Source organism: Homo sapiens, chromosome 7 (assembly GCF_000001405.40).
Source record: "Homo sapiens chromosome 7, GRCh38.p14 Primary Assembly".
NCBI classification, from domain to species: domain Eukaryota; kingdom Metazoa; phylum Chordata; class Mammalia; order Primates; family Hominidae; genus Homo; species Homo sapiens.
In genome coordinates, this window is record NC_000007.14 from 130,099,982 (window position 1) to 130,125,491 (window position 25,510).

Consider the following 25,510-nt stretch of genomic DNA (forward strand, 5'->3'; position numbering starts at 1 on the left):
TGTAGTCCCAGCTACTTGGGAGGCTGAGGCAGGAGGATTGCTTGCAACTAAGAGTTCGAGGCTACAGTGAGCTATAATCATGCCACTGCATTCCAGCCTGGGTGAAAGAGCGAGGCCCTGTCTCATTAAAAAAAAAAAAAGTAGAGAATTGATTTGACATATAAGGAAGTGGAAGTGAAATTAGATGTAGATTTTAGGCAAAGGATAATAAATTCAGTTTAGTCTCTCCAGAACAACCAATAATAGCATTAATAGCATATCCTTTAACACTCAGTCCAAGAGTATTTCCAGGGAAACTTCCTTGGCAGGCCTCTCCCCTCTTTGTTCTGATGGCACCCTCCGTGTACCTACCTATATCATAGCACTTATTGCACTGAATTGTAGTTGTTTACTTGTCTGTGCCTCCCATTAGACTGTAAGCTCTGTAAGGGCAGGGACAATAGGACAGTGCCTTTCATATCTTTACTCCAGTTTGTAGCATAGTGCATGTAGCAGGTATATCATATGTATTTGACCTTGAATTAAAGTATTGTAAAGGCCACTGTCAGAAAATAGGATGGGAGTAACATTTTATTATGTTCTCAACTTCTCTCTGGTATTGGTGACAGTGAACTAATGAATTGTTGAGAACATGAAAATGCTATTGTTTAATGCTTCAATAGGTTGTGTGGTTTTGCTTGTTTGTTTGTTTTTAACTTATCTATACTTTTGAAATAGCCACTTTGAAGCCTGATATTTTGGAATTCTTTATATCACCTCTCTTGGTTCAGATTGTAGACAGTTTCATAGGGCCCATTTTCTGTCACTAGATTCCTCTTCACTAGGTCCTACATCTTCTCTAAAACATATTTCTACCAATTAAAATTGTGGTGTAGTGAAAACAGTAATGGCGTAATGAAAACAATGGTTTTTATTATAAAATGGCAGACTTAACATACCCATTTACTTTTCCCTACTTCTCAGATGTCATTGGAAATGACAAAACAGACATAAGACAAAGAATAAATCATTGTAATTAAAAAAAAAAAACAAAAAAAACAGAAAAGGGAGACTTTGAAACTAGATTACTTGTGTCTGAATCCAGGCTCTGCCATTTAGCAACTGTATGACCTTGGGCAAGTTGCTTATTCTTTTTTTGCCTCAGTTGCTTCATCTGTAAAATTAGAATGATGATAATAGTATCTACTTCCTAGAGTTACTGTGAAGATCAAGAGAGACAGTATGTACAGAGCACTTAGGAGAGTTTCTTTACATATAGCAAATGTTGAATTAGTGCTAGCTATCATTATTGTTATTGTTAGAATGCCAGAAGTTTTTAGAAATTTTAGGGTACCAGAAAACAATTGGAATTATATTGATGGAGGAACCAGCACAGAATAAAATGCAACCCAGAATAGATGCTCCTGTTGCATGGTGGAAGTCAGAGAGTGTCTTAGTAGGGCTCTTTTCTTAAACTCTAAGCATAGAGGTGGCAAGTATAGGAAGATGGAGCAGTTTTGGGGGAAGGTGGAATATCAGGGCAGGTAATGAAAGAATTGCCTTCAAAACAGTTACTTCCCCTACTCCTTCTCTCCCTTCACATAAAGCACCCTAGCAATGGCATTAGTTCCAGGATAAAGCCATGAGAACATTTCAAGGAAAGTAGAAGATTTGCCTTGGGGAGGATTGGGCAGGCATTGCGAGCATCGATTAAGACTGGAGGAAGAAGGCCGGGTGCGGCGGCTCACACCTGTAATCCCAGCACTTAGGGAGGCTGAAGTGGGCAGATCACGAGGTCAGGAGATCGAGACCATTCTAGCTAACACGGTGAAACCCCGTCTCTACTAAAAATACAAAAAATTAGCCGGGCGTGGTAGCAGGCGCTTGTAGTCCCAGCTACTTGGGAGGCTGAGGCAGGAGAATGGCATGAACCCAGGAGGCAGAGCTTGCAGTGAGCCAAGATCATGCCACTGCACTCCAGCCTGGGCGACAGAGTGAGACTCCCTCTTAAAAAAAAAAAAAAAAAAAAAAAAAGACTGGAGGAAGAGTGCACAAAGCAGAGCCTTAGCGAATGGACTTTTGTAGTAGATGGATGAGGAGAGTGGAATGAGAGGAGAACAAGAAGAGGAGCTCTATCAAGGATCCATATGCATTAAAGGACAATACTGTCAAAATACAGCCTGCCAATTTTGGCAGTAATAAGGTCAAACTGCTTTCTTTTTCTCCACTTGTAAAGGGAAGCCTGTCTGTCAGTGTGCCACTTACCTGCAGAGACCCACACTCAGACAGACCTTCCATTTGGGTTTTGGAGGCAAATTAATACAACTGTTGAGGAAACACATGTTTCTTATAATAACTAACCAATGTAGTCCTTCATTTATTAATATGAGTAGGTGATAAAGGCTCACCATACATTTGAGGGAAACTAAGAAGAGACTAAAATAAACAAAACAGCTGCCTATGGTAGAAACAGAGATAATGAACAAGTGGAGTGGAACTTGAGGAAGTTCTAATCACAGAATGTATCTTTACAGAGCCAAGAGTGAATTAGATCCATAAATTTAAAAAAACAGCTTCCTGGCTGGGCATGGTGGCTCACACTTCTAATACCAGCACTTTGGGAGGCTGAGATAGGTGAATCACTTGAGGCCAGGAGTTCAAGACCAGCCTGGCCAAACAACATGGTGAAGCCCCATCTCTACTAAAAATACTAAAGTTAGCTGGGTATGGTGGCAGCCGCCTGTAATCCTAGCTATTCGTGAGGCTGAGGCATGAGAATCACTTGGACCTGGGAGGCAAAGGTTGCAGTGAGATGAGATCGCGCCATTGCACTCCAGCCTGGACAACAGAGCGAGACACTGTCTCAAAAAACAAAACAAAACAAAACAAAAAACGCTTCCATGGATAAAAAGTAATGATTAATGAATTAGTTTTATATTGAAGAATTGATTGCTGAAATTAAAACTCAGTTGGAGGGTTAAACAATACACTTAAGACTAGTTACTTTTCATAAAAATAAAATAGAGGAAATTTGCAGACTATAAAGAAGACCTACAGATAGAAAGTACATGAGGAAAATTCATCCTTTGAGGATAGATCTGAGTGATCAAGTACCCATTTCACAGGAGTTACAGAAGGAAAGATCAGACAATGGAAGGGAGAAAATTTAAAAATCTGAGTTTTGGCCAGGCACGGTGGCTCACACCTGTAATCCCAGCACTTTGAGAGGCCGAGGCAGGTGAACCACGAGGCCAGGATTTCAAGACCAGCCTGGCCAATATGGTGAAACCCTGTCTCTGCTAAAAATACAAAAAAATTAGCCAGGCGTGGTGGCAGGTGCCTGTAATCCCCGCTACTCGGGAGGCTGAGGCGGGGAATTGCTTGAATCCGGGAGGCAGAGGTTGCAGTGAGCTGAGATCATGTCACTGCACTCCAGCCTGGGTTACAGAGCAAGACTCAAAAAAAAAAAAAAAAAATCTGAGTTTTCACGTATAAAGGGCATGCCTTTCATGTATAAAGGACCAAACAGGAAAAAATGCAAAAACAAACCAACAGAAAGTACCTCCCTATACGTTACTAAAGTACTTACTATTTCAGAGGTAGAAAACAAGTTACATAGACTCAAAACTGAAAATCAGACTGGCATGGATTTCTCACCTGCAGCATGGTTTGCTACAAGATAAATGCCTTCAGTGTTCTGAGGGGAAATTATTCTCAAGACAGAATTCAGTACCCGGCCTCACTAATGTTTAAGTGGGGGGGTCAAAATAAGATTTCTGAAAGTTTGTGACATACCCCATTTTGATAAAATTACTTGAAGATGTACTCTGGTAAAATGAAAAATCCAGGCCAGGAGTGGTAGCTTACACCTGTAATCCCAGCACTTTGGGAGGCTGAGGCGGGTGGATCACGAGGTCAGGAGTTTGAGACCAGTCTGGCCAACATGATGAAATCCCCCCTCTACTAAAAATACAAAAATTAGCCGGGCATGGTGGTGGGTGTCTGTAATCCCAGCTACTCAGGAGGCGGAGGCAGGAGAATCGCTTAAACCCAGGAGGCGGAGGTTGCAGTGAGCCAAGATCGTGCTACTGCACTCCAGCCTGGGCAACAGAGCAAGACTCCATCTCAAAAAAAAAATTATAAGAAAAATAAAATACACTTACCATTCATTAAGTGGAAGTGGATCATCATAAAGGTCTTCATCCTTACTGTCTTTACATTGAGAAAGCTGAGGAGGAAGAGGAAAAGGAGGAGTTGGGCTTGCTGTCTCAGGAGTGGCAGAGGCAGAGGAAAATCTGCATATAAATAGACTTGTGCAGTTCAAATTCATTTTGTTCAAGGGTCAACTGTATAACATTCTGTAACTAAAATTAAATTGAGAGTTGTACTAAAGGTCCTAGAATTTTTTGTTTTAAAATTTACAGGTGTAGTATTATCTACTTACTAAAAGAAAAATTCAAATAATACAGAAATACATAGGGGGAAAAGTCAGGATCCTTACTGCAAGCATATATAACATTTCTACAAATCAATTTCAAAAAAGACAGTTCAATGAGAGAATGTATGTAAGAGGCTTAAGCAGGTGTTCTTAATCTGTTCTTGCACTGGTATAAATAAATACCTGAGACTGGGTACTTTATAAAGAAGAGGTTTAATTGACTCACGGTTCTGCAGGCTGTATAGGAAGCATGGTAGCATCTGCTTCTGGAGAGGCCTCAGAAAGCTTTTACTCATGGCAAGAGGCAGAGTGGGAGCAGGTGTCTTACATGGCAGGAGCAGGACCAAGAGGAGTTGAGGGGAGGTGCTATGCACTTTTAAACAACCAGATCTTGTGAGAACTCATCACTATACAGTACCAAGGAGGTATGGTGCTAAAGCATTCATGAGAACTTCGTCCCCGTGATCCAGTCACCTCCCACCATGCCCCATCTCCAACACTGGGGATTACAATTGAACATGAGATTTGGGCGGGGACACAGATCCAAACCATATCAGCAGGCATTTCCCAAAAGAAAAATTCAAATGGCCAATAAACATGAAAAGGCGCTCACCCTCATTGCAATGAGAGAAATGAATAGTAAAACCACGAGAGCTCTACAAACTCACAGGAATTGCTACATTAAAAAGACTGACAGTGGCAATACCAAGTATTGGCAAGGATATGGAACAACAGGAATTCTCACATGCTGCCCTTGGATATGTAAAGTGGTACAACCATTTTGAAAACATTTTGGCTTTACCAAACGAAGGTGAAGATTTACATACATTAAGATTCAGAAATTCCATGTTTACATTTATAGCCAACAGAAATGTGAGCCCCTGTGCACTTGCAACATGTGCAAAAATGTTTGTAGCAACATTAAGAACCACAAATTTGAAACAACCCAAAATGCCTCTTCACGCAACTTAGACTGGATAAATAAATTGTGACATATATTCATACAAATAAATAATATTTGGCAAGGGAAATGAACAGACCACTTCTTTTCCCCTAGAACAGGGATGAATCTCAAAAACATAATTGTGAATAAAAGAGCCCAGAAAGAAAATATACTATATTATTCTACATATATTATTCTATTCAAATACACTTTAAAACTAGGCCAAAATAAACAGTATTGTTTAGAGATGCATACCTAGGTATAATAAAGCTATAAAAAGACAACAGATTTTTATGATTGCCCTAAAAATCAGGAAGTAGGATACTCTAGAAGTGAAGGGAGGTTGGAGGGTGTGATCAAGATGGGCAGTCAAAGGGTTTCTGGGTGCTGGCTGTATTCTGTTTCTTGACCTGGGTGATGGTTATATGTTCCTATTTTAATAATTTATTAAGCACTTTATGCAGTATTGTGTTTCTTGAGCTGGATGGTGGTTACGTGTTCTCTTTTTAATAATTTGTACATTTAAGGCCGGGCGCGGTGGCTCACGCCTGTAATCCCAGCACTTTGGGAAGCCAAGGTGGGTGGATCACCTGAGTTCAGGAGTTTGAGAGTAGCCTGACCAACATGGTGAAATCCTACCTCTACTAAAAATACAAAATTAGCTGGGCATGGTGGTGCATGCCTGTAATCCTGGCTACTCGGGAGACTGAGACAGGAGAATCGCTTGAACCTGGGAGGCGGAGGCAGTGAGCCAAGATCACGCCGTTGCACTCCAGCCTGGGCAACAAGAGCAAAACTCCGTCTCAAAATAAATAAATAAAATAAATAATAATCTGTACATTTATATTTATGTAAATTCTAATGCATGCCATATTTAACAATAAAAGGAGTTAAATTTAAAAAGCAAAGATCCTGCCTCACATCTTCACTCAACCACCATTAACAGGCGAGTCTTTCCAGATGTGGTTCTTTCTGAAGAGTGTTAAAAAATAAAAGTTTGTTTTTCAGCAAGTGTTAGGGGTAATAAGATACAGATCTTTGTAGGGGAAAAAAGAAAGCTTATTTCAATAAAATCAGAAAAGTGGGAAAATAAAGCGAGAAAGAGCGGTAAATAAAAAATACATAAGATTGCAGGGACAAATCTAAATAAGAAATCAAGATCAAATGGACCTTATCTGTGGAATGTATTTAGTTTACTATTTTAATAGGCTTAAAGAAAAATTGTGACTTTGCTGTATTAAATAAAACATTTAATAAAATTTGATATTTAATGTGTTCATTTTGTTACAATGCATCCAGTACCCTTATGACATATATGCTTTTCTGTATGTTACATTTGAATACAAACTTTGTGTTGGGCGCACAGTGGCTCATGCCTGTAATCCCAGCGCTTTGGGAGGCTGAGGTGGGAGGATCTCTTGAGCCCAAGAGTTGGAGACCAGCCTGGGCAACACTCTGTCTCTAAGAAAAAATTCAAAAATTAGCCGGGCGTGGTGGCACACACCTGTGGTCCCAGCTACTTGGGAGGCTGAGATGAGAGGATTGCTTGAACCTGGGAGGTCAAGGCTGCAGTGAGCAGTGATTACACTGCTACGTTCCAGCCTGGGCAATAGAGCAAGACCCTGTCTCAAAAATAAATAAACAAATAAACCCCACATCCATTCCTGGTAAGGGAAAACATTCTTACGCATCCAGGGATAAAAGAAGATTTATTTTATGACAGAATACTATAAGAAACCAGTAGTAAATATCATATATGATGTATCATTTATTGATAAGAAACCAATAGCAAACATAATACATAACGGCATAACCTTACCAGTGTCCTCATTAAAGTAAAAAAAACGAGACAAAGATGTCCACTGTCATCTCCACTATTCAACCTTGTTCTGGAGTTTTCAGCCAATACAGTAGAAGACCAGGAAAAAGAAAAAAGAAGTACACATATTGGAAAAGAAGAGTTAAAGTTGGCATTAATAACAGATGATCTGATTGTCTACCTATAAAATTCAAGATAATTCATGATAACTAATACTAGAGTTCAGAAAATTGGCTGGACAAAATTTAAACTTGCAAAAAACCACCTTCCTATATATTAACAGCAACCAATTACAAAATAAAAGAGGTATCTAGTTACAATTGTATGGAAATTTATAAAGTACTTAGAAATAAAAAAACAATAAAACAATGAAACTTGATGAAATACAAAACTAGCTGGGCGACCAGGTGCCATGGTTCACGCCTGTAATCCCAGCGCTTTGGGAGGCCGAGGTGGGCGGTTCACGTGGGGTCAAGAATTCAAGACCAGCCTGGCCAACATGACGAAACCCAGTCTTTACTAAAAATACAAAAATTAGCCGGGCGTCGTGGTGCACGCCTGTAATCCCAGCTACTCGGGAGGCTGAGGCGGGAGAATTGCTCGAACCCAGGAGGCAGAGGTTGCAGTGAGCCAAGATCGCGTCACTGCACTCTAGCCTGGGCGACAGAGTGGGACTCCGTCTCAAAAAAAAAAAAAAAAAAAAAAAAGAGCCGGACGCGGTGGCCCGTACCGTAGTCCCAGCTACTCTGGAGGCTGAGGGTGGAGAATGGCTGGAACCCGGGAGGCGGAGGTTGCAGTGAGGTGAGACCGCGCCACTGCACCCCAGCCTGGGGGACAGAGCAAGACTCCGTCTCCAAACAAAACAAAACAAAAAACCCTTCCCCGGGAAAAAAAAAACAAAAAACAAAACAAAAAAAAACTAGCTGGTTGAGGTCGTGTGCGCCTGGAGTCCCAGCTACTCCAGACGCTGAGGTGGGAGAATCGCCTGAACCCGGAGGCGGAAGTTGCAGTGAGCCGAAATCGCGCCACTGTACACCAGCCTGGGCGACAGAGCGAGACTTGTCTCAAAAAAAAAGAAAAAAGAAACTATACTCATGGACATCAAAAAAGACAAGAATAAATGGCTAGGGATTATGTTCCTTAATGGGTTATCCCAGATAAAATCCTCAAGGGACTTTTTAAAAATAGAATTTTAATTGCCATAGAACTTCCGGTTTAATTGCAAAAATTGCAAAAATGGTAGAAATTCTCCTGTATCCTGGCCGGGCACGGTGGCTCACGCCTGTAATCCCAGCACTGTGGGAGGCCGAGGCAGGTGGATCGCTTAAACTCAGGAGTTAGCCGCCTCAAGACCAGCCTGGGCAACGAGACGAAACGCCGTCTCTACCAAATATCCAAAAAAAAAAAAAAAAAGCTGGGCGTGGTGGTGCGCGCCTGTGGTCCCAGCACTCATCAGGATGCTGAGGTGGAAGGATCGCTTGAGCTCGGGAGGTGGAGGTTGCAATGAGCCAAGATTGAGTCATTGCACTCCAGCCTGGGCGACAGAGCGAGACCCCATCTCAAACAAAAAAAAAAAAAAAGAAAGAAAAGGGAAAAAAATGTCTCCTGTATCCTTTACCCAGATTCCCCAAATGTTATTTTGTCTTTTACTTTATCCTGCTCCCTCTCCTCTCTCCCTTCCCCCCTTTATACACAATACGCACATACATATTTTTCTGTTTCAACCATTTGAAAATTGCAGACATGATGTCTTGCTCTCTCTCTCTTTTTTTGAGACAGGCTGTCACCCTGTCGCCCAGGCTGGAGTGCAACAGCGCCATCTCAGCTCACTGCAGCCTCCGCCTCCGGGGTCTAAGTGATTCTTCCGCCTCAGCCTCCTGAGTAGCTGGGACTGCAGGTGTGCGCCACCACACCCTGTATTTTTTTAGTAGGGTCAGGGTTTCACCGTGTTGACCAGGCTGGTCTCGAACTCCTAATCTCAAGTGATCCACCCGCCTTGGCCTCCCACAGTGCTGGGATTACAGATGTGAGCCACTGAGCCCAGCAGGTCTCTTTTTTTTTTTTTTAATTTTTTAAAATTTAATTTTTTTTAGAGATGAAGTTTTGTTCTGTCACCCAGGCTGAAGTGCAGGGGTGCAATCATAGCTTACTGCACTCAAGCGATCCTCCAGCCCACCTCAGCCACCCACGTAGCTGGGACTACAGGAATGTGCCACCATGCCTGGCTAATTTTTTTTGGCAGGGTCGGTACAGATAGGGTTTCACTATTTTGCCATATCTCTTTATGTCTGTGTACCAAAGTGTTTGCTCCTGAAAAACAGACATTCTCTTCCATAACTGCAGAACCTGTATCAAAATTAGGCATCAACACTGATTATTAACCCTATAAATAATGGGTACAATTAATACTACTATATAAGTTACAGACCTTGTTTCAGATTTTGCCATTATTATTTTGCCACTATCCTAATAATGTTCTTTTTGTTTGTTTGTTTTGAGACGGAGTCTCACTCTGTTGCCCAGGCTGGAGTGCAGTGGTGCAATCTCAGCTCATTGCAACTTCCACCTCTCAGTTTCAAGCGATTCTCATGCCTCAGCCTCCCGAGTAGCTGGGATCACAGGTGCCCACCACCACGCGTGGCTAATTTTTGTATTTTTAGTAGAGATAGGGTTTCACCATGTTAGTCAGGCTGGTCTCAAACTCCTGACCTCAGGCAATCTGCCCGCCTCAGCCTCCCATAGTGCTGGGATTACAGGCATGACCCACCGTGCTGGGCCAATAATGTTCTTTAATAGCAGTAGAAAATCTGAGATTGTGTGTTACATTCTGTTGTCATGTATCTTTAGCCTCCTTCAGTGTTGAACAGTTTCTCAGCGTTTGTCTTTTTGACATTGATATTTTTGAACAGTTGCAGGCTAGGTATATTGTAAAACGTCCCTTTGTTTGGGTTTCTCCCCATTTTCTCATAGTTACATTCAGCTTATATATTTTTGGCAGGACTACCACTGAAATAATATTGTGATCATCTCATTGCACATGATGTTGATTGATTTGTCCCATTACTGGTGATGTTAATTTTGATCACCTGGATAAGATGCTGTCTGTCCATGGGACTTTTTATAGACTTAACAAACTCATTCTAAAATTCATTGCAAAAGTAAATGGAGAAAAATAACTAGAAGTTTTTGGGAAAAAGTAATACAAAAGGGAATTTGTTCTAAATATTGAAAGATAGTTCAAAGCTATAATAATTAAAACAATGTGGTAATGAGGGCCAGGCATGGTGACTAACACCTGTAATCCCAGCACTTTGGGAGGCCCTGTGGTAGGAGATGCTTATATAACCAACAAGTAATATTGTGGGCTGGTGTGAATGGATTGCTTTGGTCTGAGCAACTTGGGCTCTGGGAGTAGTAAAAAGTTGTACCTGCCTTTTGGGGGATATGGGAGAGCTAACTGGATCAAACTTCCTTGGCTTTCCTTGAGGCTTCTAGGTCCAACAGAAGACCTGTCTTTTGTGGTAGAGGTAATTGTGGCCTTTACATTTGGAAAGAAGTAACCAGTTAAATTGATTAATCATTTAGGCTGTTCGATATTTATAACTAATGAATACTTTTAATAATAAGTTTTTTTTTAAAATGGCCTCACCACAAATGTTCATTAGCACATCTGTAGGTGGCTACATCTTGTAAGTAATAGACTTACTAAGCAGTAAATGTTATGTACTACTTTATTTACAAGCTTTTGTATTTAAGCTTCTGTGATGTTCTTTTATATATTTACATATTGTTTATATATATTTACATTCATATATTCTTAAAGAGCAATAAATTTTGTGTCCAAGGGGATTAGACCTGAATATTGGGATTTTCCTAATTCTACTCTAGAACATGTCGATTTAGTATATGGTAAAGGTGGCATTTCAAATAAGTATAGGAGGGGTGGCTTTCTTTAAGTGGTTTGGGGACAGTAGCCTGTTTATTTTGGGAGGAAAAATTAGAGCCCTACCTTATACAACACACAAAAATATAAATTCTGATGTATTCGAATTCTGAATATAAAAAATCAAAACATGAAATTATTCGAAACAAATGACAATATCTTAATCATTTTATAATAATGCAGAGGTGAATGAAATATAGAACAAGGGAGCTGTAAAAGACAAGATTGAGAGACTCAACACCTCTGTATGTTAATAGATGCCGTAAACAAAAGACAAGGAGCAGGCTGGAAGAAATACATATAAAATAAAGAATTTGGGGCCAGGCAAGGTGGCTTATGCCTGTGATCCCAGCACTTTGGATGGCTGGGGCAGGAGGATCATTTGAGCTTAGATTAGAAGTTCAAGACCAGCCTGGGCAACATAATGATGCCTCATCTCTACAAAAAAAATAAAAGAAGTAGCTAGGTGTGGTGGCTCATGCCTATAGTCCCAACTACTTTAGATGCTGAGGTGAGAGGATCACTTGAGGAAGAGAGGTTGAAGCTGCAGTGCGCTGTGATTATGCTACCACAGGTAGGTCTCACTCAGCCTGAGCGACAGAGTAAGACCCTGTCTCAAAGGAAAAAGAAAAAAAAATTACACAATGGTGAGAAGACAACCTAATAGATCTAAAAAGTAGGCAAAGGAGATGATCCGGCAGTTCCAAAAAGAAGAAATACAAATGGGCCAATAAACATGTGAACTAGTAAAATAAGGGAAATGCAGATTAACCTGACACCAATTTATACCCATCAGATTGGCACAAATTTGAGAAGGCTAAAGAAAGCATGAAGAAGTAGGCACTGGCATAACATTGCTGGGAGTAGAAATGGGTCCATTCTATTTGGAAAGCAGTATGGCCCTATAACAGTATTGTATCTATTAAAAATTTTTTGTTTTGTATTTTTTATTTTTTCTATAAAAATTTTAAATGCATATTCCTTTGACCTAGAAATTCTACCTCCAGAAATTCTCATACATTTGTATACAAATATATGTAGAGGAAGCTTTGTTACAATATTATTTGTAGTAGTGAAAACATTGGAAACAACTTAACCTTCTGTCACATTATCTCAGACAGCTAGCTTCTTTCTGCCTTTGGGCTAGAAACTGAAACCCATTTCCCTGGTTACCGTAAGTTCCTGCTTGCTCCCTGGGTAAAGAGCAAGTCCTTGTGACATGGAAGAGAGGATGGGTCCCACATCACAGGGACATAATCCTTTAGCTTCATGTTCCCTTCTGGATATTAAGTGTTTACCTGTGAATACAGGTTCTGTTTTAATTTTTTGCTTTTACATTTCCCACTGGGAGTTCCTGAATCAGGTAAACGAATTCTATGGTAGATTTTATTAGCAGCAAGTAATTTTTAGGAAAATGGGATTTGCAGATGGAGAAGTTGGGGGAGGATTTAGAGAGCTACTTTAGACCCTGAAACACAATTTCAGTTTTGTCAAGGTTGAGGACCCTATGCTATATTTCACCTAATAAAAATTAATGCTTAGTCTCCGTGGCATTAATCCAGACAGACAATTCCCATGGTTTATCCAAAATGGAATGGCTTTTTAATATGTTAGTCACTCTTGGGTTATAAATATGAGAAAGAAATCTGTAGTTACTGGCGAGAGAGAAAGAGGAGTTGCATTTTTACTCTCAGCTATGAGATTCCTTGACAGGATGTTTAATATTTATCAAATATTGATTAGATGCTCTTTACCCAAAAGTGTGATTTGCAGAGATCGTGAAATTATTAACAGAAACCAACAGTTGGGCTGGATCAGCACTGTGTCAGAAATAGGTAAACCACAAAATTAAAATTTTTCCAGTACCCACATTTAAAAAAGTAAAACAGACAGGTAACATTAATTTTATTTAATATTTTTATTTAACCCAGTATATTAAAAATATCATTTCAACATACAATCAATATGAAAACTAATAATTTCACATTCATTTTTGGGTACTAAGTCTTTGAAATCCAGTGAGTATTTTACATGTAAAGCACAGTTCAGTTTGGACCACCCACATTTCAAGTGCTCAGGAGCCATATGTTATGGCTCATGGCTACTGACTTGGGCTGTGCAGGCTGGACTGTAAGCTCCCAAGGACAGAGGTAGTCATTGCCTTATCACTGTATCCCCAGCACCTAGCACAGTACATGGTACTTAGTACATAGCCAGCATCCAATAGTAACTTTTTTTTTTTTTTTGAGACGGAGTTTTGCTCTTGTCACCCAGGCTGGAGTGCAGTGGCACGATCTTGACTCACTGCAACCTCCACCTCCCAGGTTCAAGCAATTCTCCTGCCTCAGCCTTCCGAGTAGCTGGGATTACACCTGCCTGCCACCACACCTGGCTAGTTTTCGTATTTTTAGTAGAGACGGGGTTTCACCATGTTGACCAGGCTGGTCTCAAAATCCTGACCTCAGGTCATCCACCCGCCTTGGCTTCCCAAAGTGCTTGGATTACAGGTGTGAGCCACCATGCCTGGCCCAATATTTTTGACCTGAGTGAGTGAGTAGAGAAATATGAAACCGTCTTTTCACAGACCCCTCAACTGTGTAATCCATGTGAATTGTATTTGTCACAGAGATAGTTGGCAATAAACTTATAACATTACTTTCCCTGCTGTACAGCCATTTAGAGAAAATGTAGAATAGACTGCATTTCTTTTCATATTTGCCCAAAAGCAGCTTTAAAAATTATCTGTTGGCTTCAGGTAATACAGCAAATGACAGAGATTTTTAGAGTTCCTGTCTGCTGAACATAGCAACTCTGTTAGATTTCTTCTTTAAATTTGTCTTGCTAATTCTTAGAAAGAAGCATTTGTGCCTTGAGAAGAACATTGCATAATCCAACACCCGTGCCTTAAACCATGTATCTGTTAGGCATAATAATACCAAAGTCCACTGAGAGTTAGACACTGTTTTAATCTTCCCTGTCGCTGTTTACTTTGGCCTGACGTTAAAGTCAACCAAACTTTTAGTACCTGTTTTTAGGTACTAACTGTTTTAGGTGTTGTGGGTGATACAGGATAATTATTATACATGACCTTTGCCCTTGAGGAGCTTATAAACTGTTTGGAAAAGAAAAACAAACTGACAAAATGCATAGAAAAAATTAAATGCCAAATAAATTGATTCCCGTTTCATTTAGTGTTTGCTGTGTGCCCGAGGCTTGGTTATAGAAAGGTAAATACAAATGTATTCCTTTTCCCTCAAATAGCTCACAGCCTCCTAGAAAGTTACCTGTATAAGCCAATAAACATTTCAACATGACAAATCTAACAAATCTTTGAAGTGCAGTAATAATATCCCAATATGCAAATGAGGAAGCTGAGACTAAATGAAGGTCAGTGACTTGCTCAAAGTAGCAATTAGAAAGAACCTGGATTCAAACTTAGACATTTATAGGAGCTCTTATTTTTTCTTCCACACCACACTTTCTGTTTCAAGAGTCCTAAAAAGAGGAACTGAGTTCTTCATTTAAGGTAAATAGTAAATTTGCCAACTGATTATAGTTTGCCTGATATTCATGTATTTACATAGTTAAGGTGTGATCTTATTAATTGTACATGTATACACTAATATATGAGTAGTATGGTACTGAACTGGAAGGGTTCATTTGATGAAAAGGGTGGTGTGCACTAGACTTAGGTATTTCCACAAGTAGGGATTGATGGGTAGGTAGGTAGACTAGGCCAAGGTGTAAGGGAGGAACTCTGGGATTTCCAAGCAGAGAGAAGTATGAGAAACTGACAGTAGGACAAGGTTAGTAGGAGAAAAGCTCTAACATGTTGGGCAGGGGACTTGATACTTGAGTGGTGAGGAACCATCAAAGACTTTCAAACACGACTAACAGGTTGGACGTGAGTGACTCAGTGATTCACTGTTTTTTGTTGCTCTCAATCTGTGCACAATTTCAGCTCTGGTTTAAAAATATAACCTTAGAAAGTGGGATTTTGATTTTAAAAAGTAAATATAGAAGGCCTGTATTAGGTTGGTAATAAATGTATAACATGTTTATTAGGTGTCTAGCGTTGTCCTAAATATTAACTTTATACTAGTATCTATTACCAACATAAAAAACTACGTTCATCTTTAGGGTCACAACTATAGTAGCTTCTTATTCCATCCAATATGTATTTAAGCATCTTTGGTTCTGAAGTTGGGCAAGGGTTTGTATAGATTGGTATAAACATTTTAAGGATAACAGAAACTACAATAAAGTTTTTTGTTTTTTGTTTTTTTTTACTCTAAAATAACCTTGAAGTAATTTTTAGTAAACTAGTTGAGACCGGGTGCAGTAGCTCGTACCTGTAATCCCAGGATGTTGGGAGGCCAAGGCAGGCTGATCACCTGAGGTCAGGAGTTCAAGACCAGCCTGACCAACATGGAGAAACCCTGTCTCTACTAAAAACACAAAATTAGCCAGGCATGGTGGCGGGCACCTATAATCCCAGCTACTTGGGAGGCTGAGGCAGGACAATTGCTTGAACCTGGGAGGCAGAGGTTGCAGTGAGCTGAGATCGCGCCACTGCACTCCAGCCTGGGTGACAGAGTGAGACTTGGTCTCAAAAAAAAAAAAAAAAAAAAAGTTGATATAATTTAGACTTCAGGACACTTTCAAATTTAAACTGTAGGAATAGCTTTTCTTAGTAAAGCTCTTAATAGGATGAAAGATGCTCTCTGAGATAAATATAAGGAGATTCTTTGTTAACCTCCATAATATCCGGGATGTTATTTAAAGTCAAAATTTTACTGTAACTCCTTAACAGCCAGTTTTCATTGTAAGTGTATAATTATATCTTGTGGAAAAATCATAGATTTTGTGTGTGTGTATTTTTATTTATACATGACTCATTCATATTCGTGATTATATTTATTTAGTTCTCTAATATTCACAGTTTAATTTAGTTGGCCTGTGTTTTTTTCTCCTCTAAGGAAATAAGAAAACTTGTCCTGTTAGCTTTTGGATTATTAAATCTTTCCTCCTTCTTTTCTTGAAAATTTCAAGTTGTCAGCCATTTTCTTGAATTTGTCATGCTTTTTACAGTTATCAAAATCTGAAGGTAGTCATAAAAAATAGAAGTAGAGACTAGCTCCTTAAAATCTTAAGTAGTATATGTGCATAAGAAGTATTATTAGGAAGTATATCCATGTTATAAATCTAAACAAATAAGAAGTATATCCATGTTATAAATCCTTCCTGGTCCCCTTTTATGGCTAAAATGGTTGTTACCTAATTTTGTTTGTGCTTTTAAACTGGTAGGACACCTGTGGAAAACTGTCCTCTTCTCTCCTAGGCCACAGACCTCCACCAGCACGAAGTGGACATCGTTGTGTGGCAGATAATACCAACCTATATGTGTTTGGAGGTTATAACCCAGATTATGATGAATCGGGAGGGCCTGATAATGAAGACTATCCTCTCTTCAGGGAACTCTGGAGGTATCATTTTGCTACAGGAGTATGGCACCAGATGGGCACAGATGGCTACATGCCCCGGGAATTGGCATCTATGTCACGTGAGTGCAAGCAGTTCGTAACTCCTGACTTTATGAAATGTCTGAGAAGCCAGGTTCAATGTCCCATATTCCTCATTAATAATTTATAACACTATAATGTGATTTCGCCCTGTGGGTGGATAGGCTTTTTACTAGGGTAATAACAGTATGGTGATTCCAAATTATTTGGGTCCTGAGTTTGAATTCAGCTTGTCAGGTGAGTTTTAGCTTTAATTTCCTAACTTGCAAAATGGGATTAATAATATCTTAGAGGGTTCAATATAAAGTATCACGCAGTAGAAGGTCAACAAATGGGGCTTATGACGATGACAGTTAATAGCTGTTGAGCAAAGTACAGGCATACCTCAGAGATGTCCTGGGTTTAGTTTCAAACCACCAAAATAAAGCAAGTCACACAACATTTTTGGTTTCCTAGTGCATATAAAGTTATGTTTACGCTATGCACTAGTCTCTTTCATGTGCAATAGCATTATCTCTAAAAAACTACATACCTTAATTAAAAATACTTTATTGCTAAAAAGTGCTAACAACCATCTGAGCCTTCAGCGAGTTGTAATCTTTTTTGCTGGTGGAGGGTTTTGTCTTGATGTTGGTGGCAGCTGACTTATCAGGGTGGTGGTTGCTGAAGGTTGGGGTGATTGTGGCAATTTCTTAAGACAGCATTGAAGTTTGCTGCATCAATTGGCTCTTCCTTTCACAAAAGATTTCTCTGTAGCATTTAATGCTGTTTGATAGCATTTTACCCAGAGTAGAGCTTCTTTCAAAATTGGAGTCAAGTCCTCTCAAACCCTGCCACTGCTTAATCAACTAAGTTTAAGTGATATTCTAAATCCTTTCTTGTCATTTCAACAGTGTTCACAGCATCTTCACTAGGAGTAGATTCTATCTCAAGAAACCACTTTCACTGAGCACAGTGACTCATGCCTGTAATCCCAGCACTTTGGGAGGCCGAGGCAGGAGGATCGCTGGAGCCCAGGAGTTGAAGACCAGCTTGGGCAACATAGTGAGACCTTTTCTCTACAAAAAATAAAAAAATTAACCAGGCATGGTGTTGCACGACTGTATTCCCAGCTACTTGGGAGGCTGAGGTGGGAGAATGGCTGGAGCCCAGGAGGTTGAGGCTGCAGAAGCTGTGATCATGCCACTGCATTCCAGCCTGGGTGACAGAGTAAGACCCTGTCTCAAAAAAAAAAAAAAAAAAAAAAAAAGAAAAAGAGGCCGGGCATGGTGGCTCACACCTGTAATCCCAGCACTTTGGGAGGCTGAGGCGGGCGGATCATGAGGTCAGGAGTTTGAGACCCAGCCTGGCCAACATGGTGAAACCCTGTCTCTACAAAAAACACACACACAAAAAAAATTAGCTGGGCATGGTGGCAGGCGCCAGTAATCCCAGCTACTCAGGAGGCTGAGGCAGGAGAATCCCTTGAACCTGGGAAGGTGGGGGTTGCAATAAGCCAAGATCGCCCCACTGCACTCCAGCCTGGGCAATAAGAGTGAGACTCCGTTTCAAAAAAAATAAAAATAAAAAAAATTAAAAATCTGTTGTTTAGTGTAGCCACTTAGCTAGATCTTCTGGATAACTTGCTGTAGCTTCTGCATCAGCACTTGCTGCTTCACTTTGTACTTTTATGTTATGGAGATGGCTTCTTTCCTGAAACCTCTTGAACCAACCTCTGCTAGCTTCCAACATTTCTTCTGCAGCTTCCTTACCTCTCCCCACCTTTATAGAATCGAAGAGAGTCAGGGCCTTGCTCTGAATTAGGCTTTGGCCTAAAGGGAATGTTGTAGTTGATCTTCTGTCCAGACCACTTAAACTTTCTGCATATCAGCAATAAGGCTGTTTTGCTTCCTTATCATTCGTGTGTTCACTGGAGTAGTACTTTTAATTTCCATCAAGAACTTTTCCTTTGCATTCACAATTCGGCTAACTGTTGAAAGAGGCCTAGCTTTCGCCTGCCTTTGCTTTCCACATGCCTTCCTCACTAAGCTTAGTCAATTCTAGCTTTTGATTTAAAGTTAGATACGGTAGACTCTTCCTTTCACTTCAATACTCAGAGGCCATTGTAAGGTTATTCACTGGCCTAATTTCAATCTTGTTGTGTCTCAGGGAATAGGGAGGCCTGAGGAGAGGGAAAAAGATGAGGGAATGGCTGATTGGTGCAGTCAAAACTCTCACAGCATTTATTAAGTTCACTGTTTTATATGGGCGTGGTTCATGGCACCTCAAAACAGTTACAATAGTAACATCAAAGATCGCTGATCAGTGCTGGCGTGGTGGCTCAGGCCTGTAATCCCAGCAATTTAGGAGGCCAAGGAGGGAGGATCACTTGAGGTCAGGAGTTCGAGACCAGCCTGGGCAATGTAGCAAGACCCTGTCTCTTAAAAAAAAAAAATTAGCTGGGCATAGTGGCCTGTACATATAGTCCCAGCTACCTGGACATCTGAGGTGGGAGGATCACTTAAGCCCAGGAGTTCAAGGCTGCAGTGAGCCATGTTCATGCCACTGCACTCCAGCTAGGCAAGACAGCAAGACTCCAACTCAAAAAAAAAAAAATAAATAAAGGCTAGGTGTGGTGCCTCACCCCTGTAATCCCAGCACTTTGGGAGGCTGACATGGGTGGATTGCTTGAGCTCAGGAGTTCAAGACTAGCCTGGCCAACATAGCAAAACCCCATCTCTACAAAAAAATACAAAAGTTAGCCAGGCATGGTGGCACACACCTGTAGTCCCAGCTACTTGGGAAATTGAGGCAGGAGGATCACTTGAGTCCTGGAGGTCAAGGCTGCAGTAAGCCGTGATCGTGTCACTGAACTCCAGCCTGGGTGACAGAGCGAGACCCTGCCTTTCAAACAAACAAACAAAAAAAGAGTTAAAAAAAAAAAAAAAAAAAAAGCCAGCTGGGCATGGTGGCTCACGCCTGTAATCCCAGCACTTTGGGAGGCCAAGGCAGGTGGATCACCTGAGGTCAGGAGTTCGAGACCAGCCTGGCCAATGTGGTGAAACCCCGTCTCTACTAAAAATACAAAAATTAGCTGGGCATGGTGGTGGGCACCTGTAATCCCAGCTACTAGGGAGGCTGAGGCAGGAGAATCACCTGAACCTGGGAGGTGGAGGTTGCAGTGAGCTGAGATCACACCACTACACTCCAGCCCGGGAGACAGAGCAAGACTCCGTCTTAAAAAAAAAAAAAAAAAAAAAGCCACTGAAATAACATAGGAGCACTATTTTGAGAGAGAGAAAGAGCATATGTATGAGTGAAGAGAATACGTGTGTACAGTGTGCATGTGTATGTTTGTGTGTGTGGTGGCAGGAACAAAAGAGCTACAGGAGGAAGAACACCAAAGTTACCTGCAGGATATTGGTGTGTTTTGTTTTAATCTGGTAGAGGATTAAAATGACAGAAACCATAATTGTAAATTTAGAAATCATTCTCCTGGCAAAAACAGAATGTCCCTTTAGTCCCTTTATTCTGAGTCCCCTTGGGTCTTTGCTAACGCAAAGATGATACTTCATTTTTCTCTGCTTTGCTGCATGCTTGAACTGTCTTCAGCAGCAGTGGTATACTGGGTAGACTGTAGTTCATGGAACTCAATATTATTATACACAGTATTTAGTGAATTCCATAAATATGTATTGAATACGTCATATATGCCTAGCAATGAACTATGTGATAGAGCCCATATAGTGGAATTAGATCTTTTTCTGCAGAACTTTGTAGTATAGGCTATGTATCCCTTATCTGAAATGCTTGGGACCAGAAGTGTTTCACATTTCAAAATTTTTTTTTGAATATTTGCATTGTACTTAGCATACCAAATCCAAAACTTTGAAATCCAACATGTTCCAGTGAGCATTTCCTTTAAGCATCATTGTTGGTGCGCAAAAAGTCTAATTCGGATTTTGAATTAGACTTCAGATTTTCAGATTTGGCACGCTCAGCTACTAGTTAGATGTCAGTGGTTTGAGCTATCTTATGAGATCATTAAAGCAGATATGTGTAGCTTCTCAGATATTCTGGGTTTATGTGGGAACAAATTGCAGGTAGCCATTTGTGAACAGAACTTGTGCTTCTCCTTCCTCAGTTGTGCTGCATGGAAACAACCTGTTAGTATTTGGAGGTACGGGCATCCCATTTGGAGAGAGCAACGGCAATGACGTCCATGTGTGTAATGTGAAGTATAAGAGATGGGCTTTGCTCAGCTGTCGGGGGAAGAAACCCAGTCGTATATATGGACAGGTACCAATCTGTGGCCAGTCATGGTGTATTTGTTCATATTTTTCTAGTCTGGGGATGGTGTTAGAATATTTGTAATTGTTACCATTTTATTTTAATGGAGAAGAGTTCTTTGTGGTTAGTACTTGATTTTTTAGTTCTGATATGAAATTATAATTTGCAAATCTGGTTACTTGCTGTGTTCTTTTCTTTTCTCTTCCTTTCTTTTCTTTTTTTTTCACTTTCTGTTTCTAATTCAATTTAGGTCAGGATGTAGACCTGTATGGAAGTTCCTTTAAATGTTAGAACCCCACCTCCACCTCTACCCTCACCCCCCGTGAGAGATTGGGCTTCACTATGGTCTGGGTCCTGGTCATTTTTAGAGTGATTCTTGAGTAGATGAGAAAGCACTTGGTGAAGAAACTTTTACATGGATCTGAGCTAAAACATACATTATGTAGAGATTAGTTTAGGTTCCAGCGCTTCAAACCTTAGGTCTGAAAAGTTATATCCAGAAAGATAGGGAGCAACCCACCATACATCAGAGACTCTTTGAGAGTTTAAGCTTAAAACAACCAAGCTTTGACTTCTTTCTTGACTCGCTGGCATTAGTACTGATAAACAGCTTCTGAGCTTAACTTCAAAGGAGCACATACTGGATAACTTTGTTGCTTCCACAGGAGGCATTTAAACTTAAGAAGTGGCCATAACAATAGCTGAAACTTTCATTGAAAAGGGTCCAGTGGAAAACATCAGGTTCCTTGAACTGCTAACTAGGGTTTCTACTTAGCAGATTGTGGTGGCTTATTTTCATATCTGCTGCTTCTTGAGAGCATTTTTCTTCAGACTGCTTATAAAGAGAAGCAGCTTTCAATGGAAATGCTTATGCCCATGGGCTAGAAATTATTTGATCAGCCAGGACCCTTAAGAATCATCTTGGGAGGTAGGACTTCCTTTCCAGTTGAGTAAAGCTTCACCTTTCTAAAGGTGTTTTCCAGGTTCTTAAAATAATCTCTGGGTTCTCTAAAATCTTTATTCTTTTAAGAGTCTGATACATTAAAAGATTAAAATACAAGAGAATTTCATAAAACCTGATTTGGAGGTATCTGGTAAGTTTACATTCTTTAATCAAGTGTTAACAAGTCGGTCTTATTCACCTTTCCTTGTTATCCAGGCTATGGCCATCATCAATGGCTCCCTTTATGTCTTTGGAGGTACAACCGGCTATATTTACAGCACAGACCTGCACAAGTTAGATCTCAATACCAGAGAGTGGACACAACTGAAACCAAACAACCTATCCTGTGATCTACCAGAAGAGAGGTGAGGTTCTAGGATTCAAGCATATTTATTCTTTCGTGCTAACATTTGACCTCTTTCAGAGTGTTGGCAATATGAAGAAAACCCTTTGGCCCCAGTTAGAATAACTAACTGGCTGTTGGATGTTAGATCTCAGGTAAATAGTAAAGAAAGGTCTATAGTAAAAAAAGTTCTTCTGGTGAGGAAATAATATTTCCTTCTAAACTACAGAATTTTTTTCCATGTCATTTCCTCTTATACTTTAGTCTCTCTGCATTAGGAAGATAGTAACACTTTGAAGAAGAAACCAGTGGTAACAACTATAACCAAATTTCATATTACAGGCAAAACAGTTACCGTCCAGTTACTTTTTGATTTCCCTTTTTTTAAAGAAAGGGTCTCACTCTGTCACCTAGGCTGGAGTACAGTGACATAATCATGGCTCACTGCAATCTTGACCTCCTGGGCTCAAGGCATTCTCCCATCTCAGCCCTCCGCCCAAGTAGCTGGGAATACAGGCATGTGCCACCACGTCTGGCTAAATTTTTGTACAGATGAGGCCGCACCGTGTTGCCCAGGCTGCTTCTCAAACTCCTAGGCTCAAGTGATCTGCCTGCCCTTGGCTTCCCAGAGTGTTGGGATTACAGGTGTGAGCCACCAAGCTGAGCCTGATTTCCCTTCTTAACTTGCATATTAGAATTCTTTGGCTCATTCTCTCACAGACATATCTTCAATACAGGGCACAGGGCCATCCCCACAGTGATGCCCAGTGAATGTTGATTGGATAGATGGAAGGAAGCTTGCATGGATGGATGGGTGATGAATGATAGATGGATGTATGGATGGATGGATGGATGGATGGATGGATGGATGGATGGAAAGGTCATTCATTTTAAGTGCTGTGTTAAACACTCAAACATCGCATGGTTCTCTCTAGTTGCCTTCTAGTAGCAGATCTATATCTTTCACTTTTCTTTCCTAATAGCAGTTGCCTCTTCATAGAATTAAACTCACTGTGGCTGGGCGCAGCCTGTAACCCCAGCACTTTGGGAGGCTGAGGCAGGCGGATCACGAGGTCAGGAGTTCGAGACCAGCCTGGCCAACATGGTGAAACCCTGTCTCTGCTAAAAATACAAAAAAAGTTAGCTGGGTGTGGTGGTGGGCACCTGTAATCCCAGCTACTCGGGAGGCTGAGGCAGGAGAATTGCTTGAACCCGGGAGGCAGAGGTTGCAGTGAGCTGAGATCACGCCATTGCGCTCCAGCCTGGGCGACAGAGCAAGACTCCGTCTCAGAAAAAAAAAAAAAAAGAATTAAACTCACTGAAATACTTGAAGAGATTTTTTTTCCCCTCCAGTTTGAAAGCAAAGACAGTAAACCATTTTTTATTAACTCTATTTAGATGAATCCAGTGCCTCTTTGTTGCCTCTTTAAACAAAATAGCATATAGGTGCTAAGGAAGAATTTATCTTAATTGTAGACTGTTAGTGGACTGATCATTGTAAAACTACCATAAGAGGACTTGGAAGTTGGCCTCTTACTGGAATGATTTTGATGTAGTTTATTTTATCAGCAACAAGGCCTTCAGGTAAAGAAGGAAATAGATTAAGTTTTCAAAGCATTTTCACATGGTTGCTTTCTTTAAGTCATTTTATGGACATATCATAAATTATTTTAGCTTTTAGCTAGACTGCCTGGATGAAAGTTCTGAGGTGTTTTATGTTATATCCACAGTTCTGTGTAGTATAATTTTCTGCTAAATAAGTATCTTAATTTGCAAACTCATAGTCTAAGGTCTCTAAATGTAGGCAGATCACTTTTTAAAACTATGTAATAATTTCCCCTTTATACAAAGTTATCACAAAAGATTATAGAAAAATCTACAAAATACAAATTAGCAAAATGAAGAAAATAAAAATCCAAGTCTAAACTCAAAGATAACCAGGTTTAATGTTTTGGATGATATCCTAATAGCCATTTTCTGTACATATTAATGTATCTATAAATTTTTAATGCAATTGATTAAAAAATAATGACACAAAAAAGTTCTCAATACATTAACCACCATCTGGTGCCTACTCTGTTACTGGTTGTATACTAATCCATTTTATGTATATTCTGTAAGTCATATAACCAATTCACTATTGTTAAACGCCTAGGTTATTTCCAATAACTTATTGTTATAAATAATGATGTAATAAAAAACCTTATAGCTAAATCTTAGATAGGTCATTTTTCACTTAATTATAAATGAATTTTATTGTAAATTTTCAGATACCGACATGAAATTGCACATGACGGGCAGAGGATTTACATCTTGGGAGGTGGTACTTCCTGGACAGCATATTCCTTAAACAAGGTATATTTTTTTAAAAAGAAAAAAAGGGAGAGGGAGAAGGATAGAAGGAGGCTTGCGTCAACCAAGCAAGATAATTCTGTTACTTTGGATATTTTAATTTTTGAGCACATTCCTCATTAACACCTATTTTGTGTTGGATGCACTTTATAAGGTCGAACCCTGTGCCCCAAAATGCTTTCAGTTGACAGGTGTTATTTATCACACACTGAAAATACTTTATAAAAATTATCCCCTTATGCTGGAAAAGGAAAGTGACTAAAAGGAAGGCATAGTAGCTTGAATGGAGCAACTAATTAGAATTGGAACCAGCATTATCAGAATGTCACATCCGCATCATCATCACTGCTGTGTATCTAAAAAGAACAGGCTTGTTTAGGGTTGCACGTCATGAACTTGAGAAAGCTGAGCTCTAAAGGGCTGTTATTCATCCATCCCTGTGGCATTTCTAAAATGTCATAGTCACACATCCCAGGGGAACCTAGATTAGGCTGTAGAGCTCCTGGACTGCTTGGAACCTTAATGGTCTTTTTCAAGTTTTGTCAAAACTGAATTCCCACATTCCCTTACAAACACTTGCTTTTTTCTATTATAAAAATGATACATGCCCCTTGTAGAAAATGTGGAAGTTGCAGAACAACATATAGAAGAAAATCAAGCATCACATGCACTGCAGCTTCTCATTCCAACCTTTTTCTTCGTTTTTTTCTGTGAATTTTAAAAAGTGGGCTGGGTGCGGTAGCTCATGCCTGTAATCCCAGCCCTTTGGGAGGCCGAGGCGGGCGGATCACCTGAGGTTGGGAGTTTGAGACCAGCCTGGCCAACATAGTGAAACCCCATCTCTATTAAAAACACAAAAAATTAGCTGGGCGTGTTGGCGGGCACCTGTAGTCTCAGCTACACGGGAGGCTGAGGCAGGAGAATTGCTTGAACCTGGGAGGTAGAGGCTGCAGTGAGCC

General features: G+C 40.2%; 1 protein-coding gene across 5 annotated transcripts in view; it reads left to right on the top strand.

Annotated features, from left to right (window-relative positions):
• Positions 1-25,510, top strand: part of KLHDC10 (kelch domain containing 10) — a 65,172-nt gene that overhangs the window by 29,448 nt on the left and 10,214 nt on the right. For all 5 annotated transcript variants that reach the window (XM_047420061.1, XM_047420062.1, XM_047420063.1 and 2 more), the window contains 4 exons: positions 16,464-16,685; positions 20,768-20,922; positions 22,073-22,221; positions 24,470-24,554. In XM_047420061.1, the coding sequence (XP_047276017.1) occupies positions 16,640-16,685; positions 20,768-20,922; positions 22,073-22,221; positions 24,470-24,554 (435 nt within the window). In that variant the 5' untranslated portion in view covers positions 16,464-16,639. The remainder of the gene's footprint in view (positions 1-16,463; positions 16,686-20,767; positions 20,923-22,072; positions 22,222-24,469; positions 24,555-25,510) is intronic.